At 42.7% G+C, this 11,898-nt stretch overlaps 1 protein-coding gene across 3 annotated transcripts, besides 6 other annotated features; it reads right to left on the bottom strand.

The window, feature by feature from the left end:
• TERF2IP (TERF2 interacting protein) lies at positions 2,167–11,826 on the bottom strand. Of its 3 annotated transcripts, none has more exons than NR_144545.2 (3): positions 10,917–11,826; positions 5,202–5,326; positions 2,167–3,392 (listed from the first exon to the last, which is right to left on the bottom strand). NR_144545.2 is itself a non-coding variant. In NM_018975.4 (3 exons), the coding sequence occupies exons 1-3, from the start codon at positions 11,714–11,716 to the stop codon at positions 2,988–2,990; spliced, it is 1,200 nt and encodes a 399-aa protein (NP_061848.2). In that variant the 5' UTR covers positions 11,717–11,826; the 3' UTR covers positions 2,167–2,987. The 3 variants fall into 3 exon arrangements, 2 of the variants coding, with proteins under 2 accessions (NP_061848.2, XP_047290172.1); NM_018975.4 differs by having other exon boundaries at positions 11,047–11,826; XM_047434216.1 differs by lacking the exon at positions 2,167–3,392 and having other exon boundaries at positions 5,248–6,328.
• Positions 9,291–9,370: an enhancer, noted in NCBI's record as "active region_11146". NCBI's record gives its function as "activates an Ori minimal core promoter by ATAC-STARR-seq in GM12878 lymphoblastoid cells {active_cell/tissue: GM12878}" and the evidence as "EXISTENCE:reporter gene assay evidence [ECO:0000049][PMID:35858748]".
• Positions 9,949–10,904: an enhancer, noted in NCBI's record as "H3K27ac hESC enhancer chr16:75682593-75683548 (GRCh37/hg19 assembly coordinates)". NCBI's record gives its function as "activates a minimal SCP1, AML or CMV promoter by ChIP-STARR-seq in primed H9 embryonic stem cells {active_cell/tissue: H9 hESC(primed)}" and the evidence as "EXISTENCE:reporter gene assay evidence [ECO:0000049][PMID:30033119]".
• Positions 9,949–10,971: a biological region, named in NCBI's record as "H3K27ac hESC enhancer GRCh37_chr16:75682593-75683548".
• Positions 10,702–10,971: an enhancer, noted in NCBI's record as "active region_11145". NCBI's record gives its function as "activates an Ori minimal core promoter by ATAC-STARR-seq in GM12878 lymphoblastoid cells {active_cell/tissue: GM12878}" and the evidence as "EXISTENCE:reporter gene assay evidence [ECO:0000049][PMID:35858748]".
• Positions 10,905–11,862: an enhancer, noted in NCBI's record as "H3K27ac hESC enhancer chr16:75681635-75682592 (GRCh37/hg19 assembly coordinates)". NCBI's record gives its function as "activates a minimal SCP1, AML or CMV promoter by ChIP-STARR-seq in primed H9 embryonic stem cells {active_cell/tissue: H9 hESC(primed)}" and the evidence as "EXISTENCE:reporter gene assay evidence [ECO:0000049][PMID:30033119]".
• Positions 11,282–11,401: a silencer, noted in NCBI's record as "silent region_7728". NCBI's record gives its function as "represses an Ori minimal core promoter by ATAC-STARR-seq in GM12878 lymphoblastoid cells {active_cell/tissue: GM12878}" and the evidence as "EXISTENCE:reporter gene assay evidence [ECO:0000049][PMID:35858748]".

Raw genomic sequence — 11,898 nt, 5'->3', positions numbered from 1 at the left:
AGAGTATGGATTGAAAAACCAACAAATGCTGGGCGGGGTGGCTTAGCTGGGTGTGGTGGCTCACACCTGTAATCCTAGCACTTTGGGAGGCCAAGGCAGGTGGATCACATGAGATCAGGAGACTAACCTGGTCAACATGTCAAAACCTGGTCTCCACAAAAAATTCAAAAAATTAGCCAAGCATAGTGGTGTGCGTCTGTGGTCCCAGCTACTCGGAGGCTGAGGCACACAAATGGCTGAACCCAGGAGGAAGAGGCTGCAGTGAGCCAAGATCGCACCACTGCACTCCAGCCTAGGCAACAGAGTGAGACTCTGTCTTAAAAAAAAAAGAAAAAAATATATATATACATAACAAAATAATCATATATATGGAGGGAAAGAGCATGTAAAGGTAATTATGTCATTATAAAAAACACTATAAATGCACTTTTTTCTCAACTGATTTTTTGAAAACTGCATAAAAGTATGTGTATATAATGTATAAGTTGATCCTGTAACACAGAAGTTTAATGTATGTATTTTGACAATAACAGAAGGAGGTACATGATCACAGATGCTAATAAAAATGGTCATAGCTGCTGAAGTAATCCTTATAATAATGTATTGTTGGATTTGTAATATTAATAGATGTAATATATATACCCCAAAACCAGGAGAAAGAGAAATAGTCATATAGGAGTAACATCTATGTATATTTCACTGGACTTAAGCTAATATAAATCTGAAACTAATTCTGATCAGATGTGTATGGCAAACCCTAGAGATGTGTATGGCATGTGTATGGCCCTAGATGTGTATGGCAAAACTTCTAATCACTCAAAATATACAGCAAAAATTAAAGAAAATGTTGGCCAGGCATAGTGGCTTATGCCTGTCATCCCAGCACTTTGAGAGGCCAAGGCAGGGACAACACTTGAGCCCAGGAGTTTGAGGCTGCAGTGAGCTATGATAGTGCCACTGCATTCCAGCCTGGGTGACAGAGAGATACCCTGTCTCTAAAAAAGAAAAATAAAATGCTATTTAATATATTAGAAACTACTCATTAAATGCAAAAGAAATCAGTAAATATCATGCTGGCCATCTTTTCAAATACTCCACTTACAATGGTCCCAGCATAATTGGGGTGGCCCCCAAAGCTGAGGATTGGGTCTTCCCACAGTTCTGCAGGACCAGGTGACACGACAGTGAACAACCACACCATCAAGACTGTCTCAGCCTTCTGCACCAATCCTGAACCCCATTCCTGCAGACCCTGGGCCAGGACCTAAACCAAAGCTGCAGCTCGCTGGGGCAACATTGATTGCCCAAGGTGAGGACTAAGCACAGATAGCCTAGTGGCCCTGGTGCAGAACCAGGATTGGCTGCTGAATTCTGAAAACCAGGACTTGGTTCAACATTTACATTTGATAGATGCCTTGATTCCCATTTTGTGTTTGTGAAAAGTGTATGTGTTTACTTTTGCTGTAAAACATAATCACTAATAATATGCAATAAATATTTTCTTGAAGGAAAAAAAAAGAGGAGAACAAGCATTTGAGTACAAATGATGATTCCAGGATGCACTGTAGGGAAGTGGGAATGAGATAAGAGAAGGAAGCCTATGCAGGATGCATTCATAAGTAGATTCCCACTGTGGGCAACTATGTTTACTACTACTGGGGACCTCTAAAAGATGGCATGGAAACCATTATCCCACTCGAAGGATAACTTTCAAATATCCAGTTGTATAACTTCTCTGGTCCGCAGGGAAGCTGGGTAGGCACCCTCGAATTCCCATACAGGGGCATTAACTCCATAGCACTTCAAGCAGAGAGCCTCAAGCAGGTGCTTATTGCAGGATTCCTGATAGTGGCACATGCTAGAGAATGATGTGTGCCCAGGGAATATGGATGAGGTCCTGACACCTTCTGCTACCCACCTGCTGGTCCCTGATTGGTTTCTCTCCCCTTTGGCTTTCAGCAGTTCAGCTTATTTTGCCACTTCTCACAGTCCTTGATGCAGTTCTTCTCTTTGCTCCATCCAGAAGAACTAGTATCTTTCCAATGGCCTATTCATTCTAAAATGGAACCACTTTATTGGTTGTAATTAACAACAACTGTTAGTTCCTTTGTGGTTTTTATACCTAAAAAGTTTTGCATATACAATCAAAACACTTATTGACGAGACTCGAATACAAAGTTATATTTATTTTCAACAATGAAAACAACACAACAAAGTGGAGTCAATCCACTAATTTTTTAAATCTAACACAATGCTTAGCACAAACAATACTCAATAAATAACACATTAACCAAGTAACATTATTCTTAACACTCTCTAGAGTTGTGTGCGCGTTTTAAGGAAAACTGAGGGGTAGGTAAAGAAAGACATCCGGCAGACTTGACTGAGAAGGGCTCCAAAAAAAGAACAGCCAAAGAGCAGGGTACCCAAATACTAAGTTAGCAAAATGAATACAGCATTTTCAAAGCAGTCTAGAAATCAGAGCTCACTGGGGGAAATGACAAGGGTTTGGGGATAATCCGTGTTCAAGGCCTCATAATTAAATCTTCTCCTATTTCTAGATTCTTTATTTGGAATCTATCCCAATCTAAAGGAGCTTCTGCCAAAGGACAGGAGATTACTTATGCTGCCTGAAATGGCCTATGCCTCCTAAATTTCCTTTCACTTTGTCACTACTATAGCAAGGGTTCCATTCCAACAATGGATTACTACTATGTAGACCAACTCCTGTCTGATTTAGATCTTCCTTTCATAAACACATTGATACTTGTTCAAGGACAGCTGTAAATACATCCAATTTCTTTTCTTTTTATCCCCCTCTACAACTCTGCTTGGCTACAAAAATCTAGGACTCACAGAGCAACAGCAGCGATGGTCAGAAAATAAGTGCCAGTTCCAATGCAAGAACTCTCTAAAGTTCATTGGTCACAATTTTTTTTAACCACCTCACCTACCATGACTTTTTTCTTTTCTCATTATCTTGCCAATTATTTCTTTCGAAATTCAATCCTCCGAGCTACATTCTGAGCACCAAATTTTTTGACCAATGCCTCTCTGGTATCCTCATCATCTTTTTGCAAATCTATGTCATCTTGTCGGGACCAAATGGGATATCCATCAGCTCTCTGACCAGACGCTAAGAAGGCGGAAGTAGCCTCCAGCTCACCACTATTTTTTAGGAAGGCCTGTGTAACTGTTGATAGATCCAAGTTAAACTTCTCCATTAACTGCCGAATGATCTTAATGGCAGCTCCCACCTCTGGTTGAGAAACTTTTTCTTCTTCTTCTTCTTCCTCCTCATCAGGCTGTGTTTCTGAGTCTTCCTCAGGTGTGGGTGGATCATCATCACACATAGTTATATGTATTTCAAAATCAGGAGGGCTCTCATCCACCTAGACAGAATGATGAGTAAAACCAGCTCCTAATCACCAAGTCTTGATTTCTTACAATATCTGGTCTCTTCCAACTATCACCCCCTTGCCCTCTGCATTCCAATCACACTGGACTTCCTTCAGTTCCTCTTAATATGCTGTGTTCCTTCTTACATTTATTCATGTCAGATGTGTATGTATATGTACACGCGTGTGTGTGTGCGCGTGTGTGTGTGCACGTGTGTGTGAGGGGTAGGGGGAGTATATGTGTATATGTGTGTATAATTGACTATAGTATTCCAATAGAATATTAGAAGCTACATTGAATATGAAAAATATATGTATATATAAAGAGAGAGACACATATATGTGCACACATGTTCATTAGATTTGTTAAATGTTTGACTTCACTCTCAAGACTGTAAGCTCCTAAGGGCAGGAATTGTATGTTTTGTTCATCACCACATCTCCAATACCCACCAATGCCTATACATAGTAAGTACTCAAAAAGCACTGCTGTATGAATGTATTAGGGCTTCCAAGCTATACTGGTTAGACAGATTACAAAGCATGCTATATGAGAAGAGGCCTAGGTAGGTCATGTTTGAGAGCTGAGTGTTTGAAGTTTATGAAAAATGAACCAAATATCAAATAATAAAACAGACTACAAAAGGCAACAATCCCTAAATCCTGCCAATTCCTGTGCATCCCTTCAATTCCTGTGCATCCCTTCACTCACCAATTACAGAAGCTTTAAATTATTTCCCTTGTTTGGACTGAAGCCTAACCATTTTTCTTTGTTAATATGAATTTTCTTTGTTAGTTCACAAGACGCTTTATCATGGAAAAATATATACATATAATTTGGACCTTTAAAAAACTTATCATTATTGTATGGCTCCTGTCTTTCTCTGTAGCTATTATTAAATATCAGATTCTAACAGAGTAATATAAGCTAGACTGAATATGGAAGAGCTAAAACATTTTTAAAAAGCTCAAAGTACACAAAAAGCTAAATTTGCTTGATAAAAAAAATTACTATAAGTAGCTGGGCATGATGGCACATGCCTGTAATCCCAGTTACCCAGGAGGCTGAGGCAGAAGAATTGCTGGAACCTGGGAGGTGGAGGCTACAGTGAGCTGAGATGGCACCACTGCACTCCAGCCTGGGTGACAGAGTGAGACTCCACCTCAAAAAAATACAAAAAGCGGTGGCTCACGCCTGTAATCCCAGCACTTTGGGAGGCCAAGGCGGGCGGATCACGAGGTCAGGAGATCGAGGCCATCCTGGCTAACACAGTGAAACCCCGTCTCTACTAAAAATACAAATAATTAGCCAGGCATGGTGGTGGGCGCCTGTAGTCCCAGCTACTCGGGAGGCTGAGGCAGGAGAATGGTGTGAACCCAGGAGGCGGAGCTTGCAGTGAGCCAAGATCGCACCACTGCACTCCAGCCTGGGCGACAGAGCCAGACTCTGGCTCAAAAAAATAGAAAAAACAATTACTATAAACTTTTTGAAAAATATATTGACATTAAAGTACTCAAAGTGGGATGCTTTATACTGTTTATACAACTGTCCCTATTCTACCCAATTTTTCTCCCTTTCCCCCTCAACTTGTCCTGCCAAAAACTAAAAGCTTTGTGAAGCAAAAGCTTCAGGGCAACATGTCTGAAGCCCAGATCAGTCCCATTTTCCATTTTCCCTTTCCATCTTGAACTCCTCTCTCACTTTCCTGAGCCCCAGGTAGATGAAAAAGGTGTACAGGATAACCAGTTTCAAAGAAGAATGAAGGTAGGGAAAAAAATAATGAGTAAATCTAGTTAACATACCACAACCTCCTCAAACTCCCGGGTGGCTTCCACAAGCATCTTTTTGACTGCTTCTTCATTCTCCTGGATTTCTTCCTTCACATACTCTTCTTCAGGCAAATCTGGAGTTCTCTTATTCTGTGGTTCTGTTAAAGAGAAGAACAGCACAGATTAGCAATAGCCTCTTTTACATAAACCAAAAATATATTTGCTGTGTGAGCTCTGGGCCAGGAGTGAGCCTGCACTTTTTTTTTTTTTTTTTTTTTTTTTACTATCAGAAGACATCTGTTCTTGATTCAGAAGGGTAAAAAAAGCCTAGGACGTGCTCATTCACCCATTTCTATGCTTGCTTCTGAAAAGATGTACTATCCAAACAATGATACATTCTTAAACTCTGACATATAAAAATGCTCAAGTTTAATTCATTTTTTGCTTTGTAGTTACAGACTTTGCAAATTAATAAAAATGTGTCATAAATTGGGTTCCTTGGGAAGCAAATTCTGAGATGGAGATGGAAATTTAAAGAATTGGGAAGTGATTTTGGGAAAACCTTTGTGGAAGAGCAGGAGTGGGCAGAGAGAGAAGCTGACTTATCAAAGAGTTTCAACAAGACCTCAGCCAAAACCATGGGCAACTCTGGAGCTAGGAAGGCCCTTCAGAACTGACCAAGCTGGGGCCAAGGAGCAGACTTTGTAACTCTGCAAATATCAGTCACTGGATGGTGGCAGCCCTAAGAAGACAGGAGTTTGGGCAAGGCAGCTCTCCTAGCAGCCAAAGGCAGATCTGGGCCACGTACCACAATCCACCAATATACCATCTACAAAAAGGAGGGCCTCCTAAATTTAAACATCCTGTTCCTTTCCTTTACATTTTGTTCTCTGAAGATTTAACTCTGCTCCTTTTCTACTTACTAAAACATACTACAAAGGGGCAGCAAGAGGGAGTTTTTCGTGATGGAATTGTTCTAAATCCCAATGTGGGTGCTGGTTACAAAAATTTACCTATGTTAAAACACATATAACTGGAAAAGAGTACAGCAGTTCCTCAAAAAATTCAATATAATTTCATGATGACAACCCACAAGGAAAAAGAAAAAATTAAACATAAAATTACCATATGATCCAGCAATTGCATTTCTAGGCATATACCTAAAATAATGGAAAGCAGGGTCTCAAACAGATACTAGTTATACCCATGTTCACAGCAGCATTATTCAAAATAAACAAAAGATGGAAATAAGCCAAATGTCAATTGATACATTAATGGAAAAACAAAATGTAGTATATACATACAATGGAATATTATTCACCTTTAAAAAGGAATCAAATTCTGACACATGCTACAATATGGATGAACTTTGAAGATATTATGTAAAGTGAAATAAGCCAGACACAAAAGGGCAAATATTACATGATTCTACTTGTATGAGGTATCTAGAAATATTGAATTCATAGAAACAGAAGGCGGAATGGTTGTTTCCAGGGGCTAAGAGGAGGGAGAAATGGGGAATTAGTGTTTAATAGGCATGTTTCTGACCCCTAGAAGCAGAAAATAATAAAAGGCATGGAGTTTCAGTTTTAGAAAATGAGTAAGTTCTAGATACAGATGGTGGTGACAGTTGCCCAACAATGTGAATGCACTTAATAATGCCACTGAACAGAACACTTAAAAAACTATCTGAACTGTAAATTTTACGGTATATACATTTTACCACAATAAAAAATAAAGTTTTTAAAATGCATATAATTTTACACCATAAAAAGTTAATTTTACTGTATGTATTTAATAAAATTCTTAAATAGTAACTAAAAGAGGCTTATCTTTGAGAGATACATGCTAAAATAGATAAAATGATATGATGTCTGGCATTTGCTTCAAAACAGTCCAGGAAGTTGGGATGAAAAGTATAGATTTAAAAAATGCCATGAACTAAAATCAGGTGAAGGTGGGTGATGGGTATATGCAGTATAGTTCATTATACTATTCTGTATTTGTAAATGCTTGGAATTCTCCATAATAAAAAGTAAATTACTGTTCATTCACATAATGAAATACAGTGCAATCAATTAGAAAAGAATGAGGAAAAGCTTTGTGCAGACACACAAACACTTCAAGATAAATAATTAAGTTTAAAAAAAGTAAACCACAGATTAAGTTGATGTCTAGTGTGCTAGTATTACTATGAGCAAAGGGGACATGCAACAGACAAGAGACGGTAATAGAGGCTGCCCCTAGGAAAGGACCCAGGGAAAAGGGTATGTAAATAGGGAGACTGCCTTTTCAGTATGTACCCATTTGTACTCTGAGTATATCTACGGGATAAATTCCTAGAACAAAACTGCCATGTTTAAGGGAATATACGTTATAAATGTCATCAGATATTGTCAAAATGCCCCCCAAAGAAATTGTATCAATTTCTATTAACAACGTAGGAGTATACTTGTTTTCCCATACACTAACTTTGGATATTACCCATTGTATTGACTTTTGCCAATCTTATAGATAAAGTATAACATCTCCTTGCTCTGATTTAGTTAAAAAAAATAAATAACTTGGGGAGCTTTTGTTCTATTTTGTATAATGGAAGCTATCTCAATTCATCAAATAAATACAAAACAATTCCAACACACATATTTATTATCTCACAGGTCTCATGGGTCAAAGTATAGCTTATACTGACCCTAGGCTCAGGGTCTGATTTACTTTCTTTCTTCTTCTTTTTTTCTTTCCGAGATGGAGTCTGGTTCTGTCACCCAGGCTGGAGTGCAGGGGCTTGATCTCAGCTCATTGCAACCTACACCTCCCTGGTTCAAGCAATTTTCATGCCTCAGCTGCCTGAGTAGCTGCGATTACAGGCGCATGCCACCATGCCTGGATAGTTTTTGTAGTTTTTAGTAGAGACGGAGTTTCATCATGTTGGCCAGGCTGGTCTCGAACTCCTGACCTCAAGTGGTCTGCCACCTTGGCCTCCCAAAGTGCTAGGATTACAGGCATGAGCCACCGCACTCGGTCTGATTTACTTTCATTTAATAACAGACTATTTCTTCATTTGTTTATCGGCCGCTTATTTATTTCCTTTTCTGGGAACTTCCTGTTCCATTTCCTTTTCTCATTTTTCTATTAGTTTTCTTTTTACTTAATGACTTCTTACTTAATGACAAAGAGCTCTTTAGACATTAAAGAAACTAAGTCTATTGCAGTGTATTGGGAATGTTTTTCCAGCATGCCCTCTGACTTTATTTATCATGAGAAGTTCTTAATTTTCAGGTAATCAAATATATAAAACTTTTTCTTTGTCTTTTTGGCTTCATAACTTATCACCATGCTAATATTTTTACTTTTTTTCTTCTGGCAAATCAGGCAGCATCCTGAACCACAAATGGTTCAGAGCAACTCCCACCATACTGATATATTCATTCATATCTTCTCTTACTCATTTTAGAATTTTTTAATTTTTACATTTAAATATCTGATTATCAAAAGATTACTTAGATGGGTAGGATGAATACAGCTTAATTTTGTCCCAAGTTCCAAATGGCTTGCCAATAGCCCCAACATCACGGATTTAAAAGCAAGTCCCAGACACAGCATGGTGGCTCACACCTGGAATCCTAGCACTTTTGGGAGGCCAAGTCGGGCAGATCCCTTGAGCCCAGGAGTTCGAGACCAGCCTGGGCAACACGGCCAAATCCTGTCTCTACAAAAAAATACAAAAATTAGCTAGGTATGGTGACGAGTGCCTGTAGTCCCAGCTACTTGGAAAGCTGAGGTGGGAGGATCCACTGAGCCTGGGAAGTCAAGGCTGCAGTGAGCCGTGATCGCACTACCGCACTCCAGCCTGTGTGACAGAGCAAGACCCCATCTCAAGATATATAATAAAATTAAAATAAAATAAAAATAAAAGCAAGGCCATACATGATGACATACTTCACCCATACACATAGCCCTAACCTCATCTGCTATAATTAATTCTCCCTCCTACTCCATTAACAGCCACTCTGTTCTCTTTGTGGCTCCAAACACACCAGCCATACTCCCACCTAAGGGCGATTGCCCTGGCTTCTTCCTCTGCCTGAACACTCTTCCCCAGATATCCACCTGGGTTGCTCTTTCACTTCCTTCGGTCTCTGCTTAAACATCAGCTTATGAGAATGACCTTCTCTTATCATCCTATAGGAAAAACCTCCTCCCCAACCCTTACACTCTGAATTATTTTTCTCTATAGCCCTTACCACTCCCCAGCTAGCATGTTATAAGCTCCAGGACCACAGGGACTTTTATTTATTGTTATATTCCAGCAGGACCACAATGTCTGGCACTCAAATTTCTGCTGAATGAATGAAGCTGAAATGTCACTTTTACCAAAACAAAATTCCTACTAAGCATACTGAACAGGAGAAAAAGATTTTACTCCCCAGACTTCAAGTGTTAAATGGAGTAGTCATACAGGCAAAGAAAAGGTGGGAGGATTACGGAGGGGGAGGAGAAGCAGCATGCCTCTTTAAACAAAAGGGTCTATCGGTTTAAGTTATCAATGCCAGGTACGTCACCAAGTACATCTTAACAGACTCGTTCTGTATCCTAGACATACTGAACCCCAATTTTCAATTCAACTGCATTAAAAACTCACTTCACCTAAGCAAGACCAGGAAGAGACCTTCCAACTGCCGAGAACCTTCTTAAGTCCATAGGCATTCAGTTACGCCAGAGCATTAAAGTAAGTCTGGTACGCCTTTATACTGAATCTACCTGAACATAACAGCAATCTTTTTTAAAAAGGAGTCTGTGGAATATCTCTTAAAAGAAACACAAGAAGCCAGTTAGCCCGTGGGTAGCTGGTGGACAGGAAGGACGAGATAATTTTTTTTTTTTTTTGAGATGGAGTCTTGCTCTGTCACCCACGCTGGAGAGCAGTGGCGCAGTCTCGGCTCACTGCAACCTCCGCCCCCCGGGTTCAAGCAATTCTCCTGCCTCAGCCTCCTGAGTAGCTGGGACTACAGGAACTCTCCGCCACGGCCGGCTAATTTTTGTATTTTTAGTAGGGGCGGCATTTCGCCATGTTGGTCAGGCTCGTCTCGATCTCCTTACCTCAGGTGATCCGCCCGCCTCGGCCTCCCAAAGTGCTGGGATTACAAGCTTGAGCCGCCGCGCCCGGCCAAGAGAGAATTTTCTATATACTTTTTGTAACTTTTGAATATAGAACCATGTCAATATTCTAGTCAATGGTAAAGTAAATTAAAACTAGACCAAGAAGCTGGGTGTGATGGCTCACGCCTGTAATCCCAACACTTTGGGACACCGAGACGGGAGGATCGCTTGAGCCCAAGAGTTCGAGACCTGTCAGGGCAACACAACGAGACCCCCATCTCTACAACAATTTTTTTTTTAATTTAGCGGGACGTGGTGGCGCGGGAGTGTAGTTCCAGCTACTTGGGAGGCTGAAGCCGGAGATTCGCTTGAGCCCAGGAGGTCCAGGATGCAGTAGGTCGTGATCGCGCGGCTGCATCACAGCCTGGGCGACGGAGCGAGCCCCCACTCAAAAATTAAAAAATAAAAACGACGAGAGGCCAGACGTGGTGGCTCACTCCTGTAATCCCAACACTTTGGGTGGCCGAGGCAGGAGGATCGCTTGAGCTCAGGAGTTCAGACCAGCTTAGGTAACAGAGACCCATCGCAAAAAAAGAACAATAATAAACAACAAGGGAGCGAGAAGGCAAGAAAATGGTGCAAATTTACCCGGATGTCAACAGGGGGCGGGGCCAAGCGCTGCTACCGAAGATGCCAAGATGGACGCCAGGCAGCCAGGAGAAAGATCCCAACCCCACCCGCGCAGATATCCGCGAGGCCCCGCGCTCAGCCTCCTCACCCCCGCTATCCGCGGCCTCCGGGTCCTCCTCCGCCTTCCGCTTGAGCTTCTGGGAGGAGGGGCTCACCGGCGCGTCCCCCAGCAGGTACTTATGCTCCTGGCCCCGCAGGTGCTTGAGGTAGCGGTCCTTCAGGGACTGCCACGAGTGCTGCGTGAGCGAGCTCTTCTCCATCGCTTTCCACAAGGCGTTACCGGTGACGGAGCTGGGCGAGCGGGCATTTTCCTTCACGTAGGTAAGGATGGCTACGTCGTCCGCATCCGTGAAGGCGATCCGCCCGGCGTGCCGCTGCGGCTCCGGCTCCGCGGCGCCCTCGGCCAGGGCCCCGGGCTTTGCTTCCGAGCCGGTGTCCGCCGCCGAGGCGGGGCCCAGCCGATAGGCCTCCAGCTCCAGCCTCTCGTTGCGCTCCACGCAGTCCAGGATGTACTGCGTGGAGATGAAATCACCCGAGGCCTCGGCCAGCGCCTCCCCGGGCTGGGCCAGCAGCACGGCCCCGGGCTCCTGCACTCGGCACACGGTGCCGCCGCCGTGCAGGATGAGCGTCGACAGCCGACGCTTGGCCGGGCTGGGCCGCACGTAGAAGGACATGGAGCTGCCGTCGTCCCTCACGAACAGAGTCGAGGAATGGGTGGGCCCGTTGGGGTCTTTGCCCAAATCCATCGCCTCCGCCATGTCTGACGCCGAGCACTACTAGAAGAGCTACCCCCTCGCGAGCGCCTGGCACACAGAGCTCAACTGACTGAGCTGTCACCGCAGACGCCTCTGCCGCGAAGCGCAGCACTGGGCCTGCGCAGCAGCAGCCGCGGCGCATCGAGAGTGCCCGCCCCCTCTCCCCCGGAAGAGGTGGGGCTTCG

Source organism: Homo sapiens, chromosome 16 (genome assembly GCF_000001405.40).
Source record: "Homo sapiens chromosome 16, GRCh38.p14 Primary Assembly".
Taxonomy (NCBI): Eukaryota; Metazoa; Chordata; class Mammalia; order Primates; family Hominidae; genus Homo; species Homo sapiens.
Note: the sequence above shows the minus strand (reverse complement) of the source record. Positions and strands in the feature narration are given on the sequence as shown.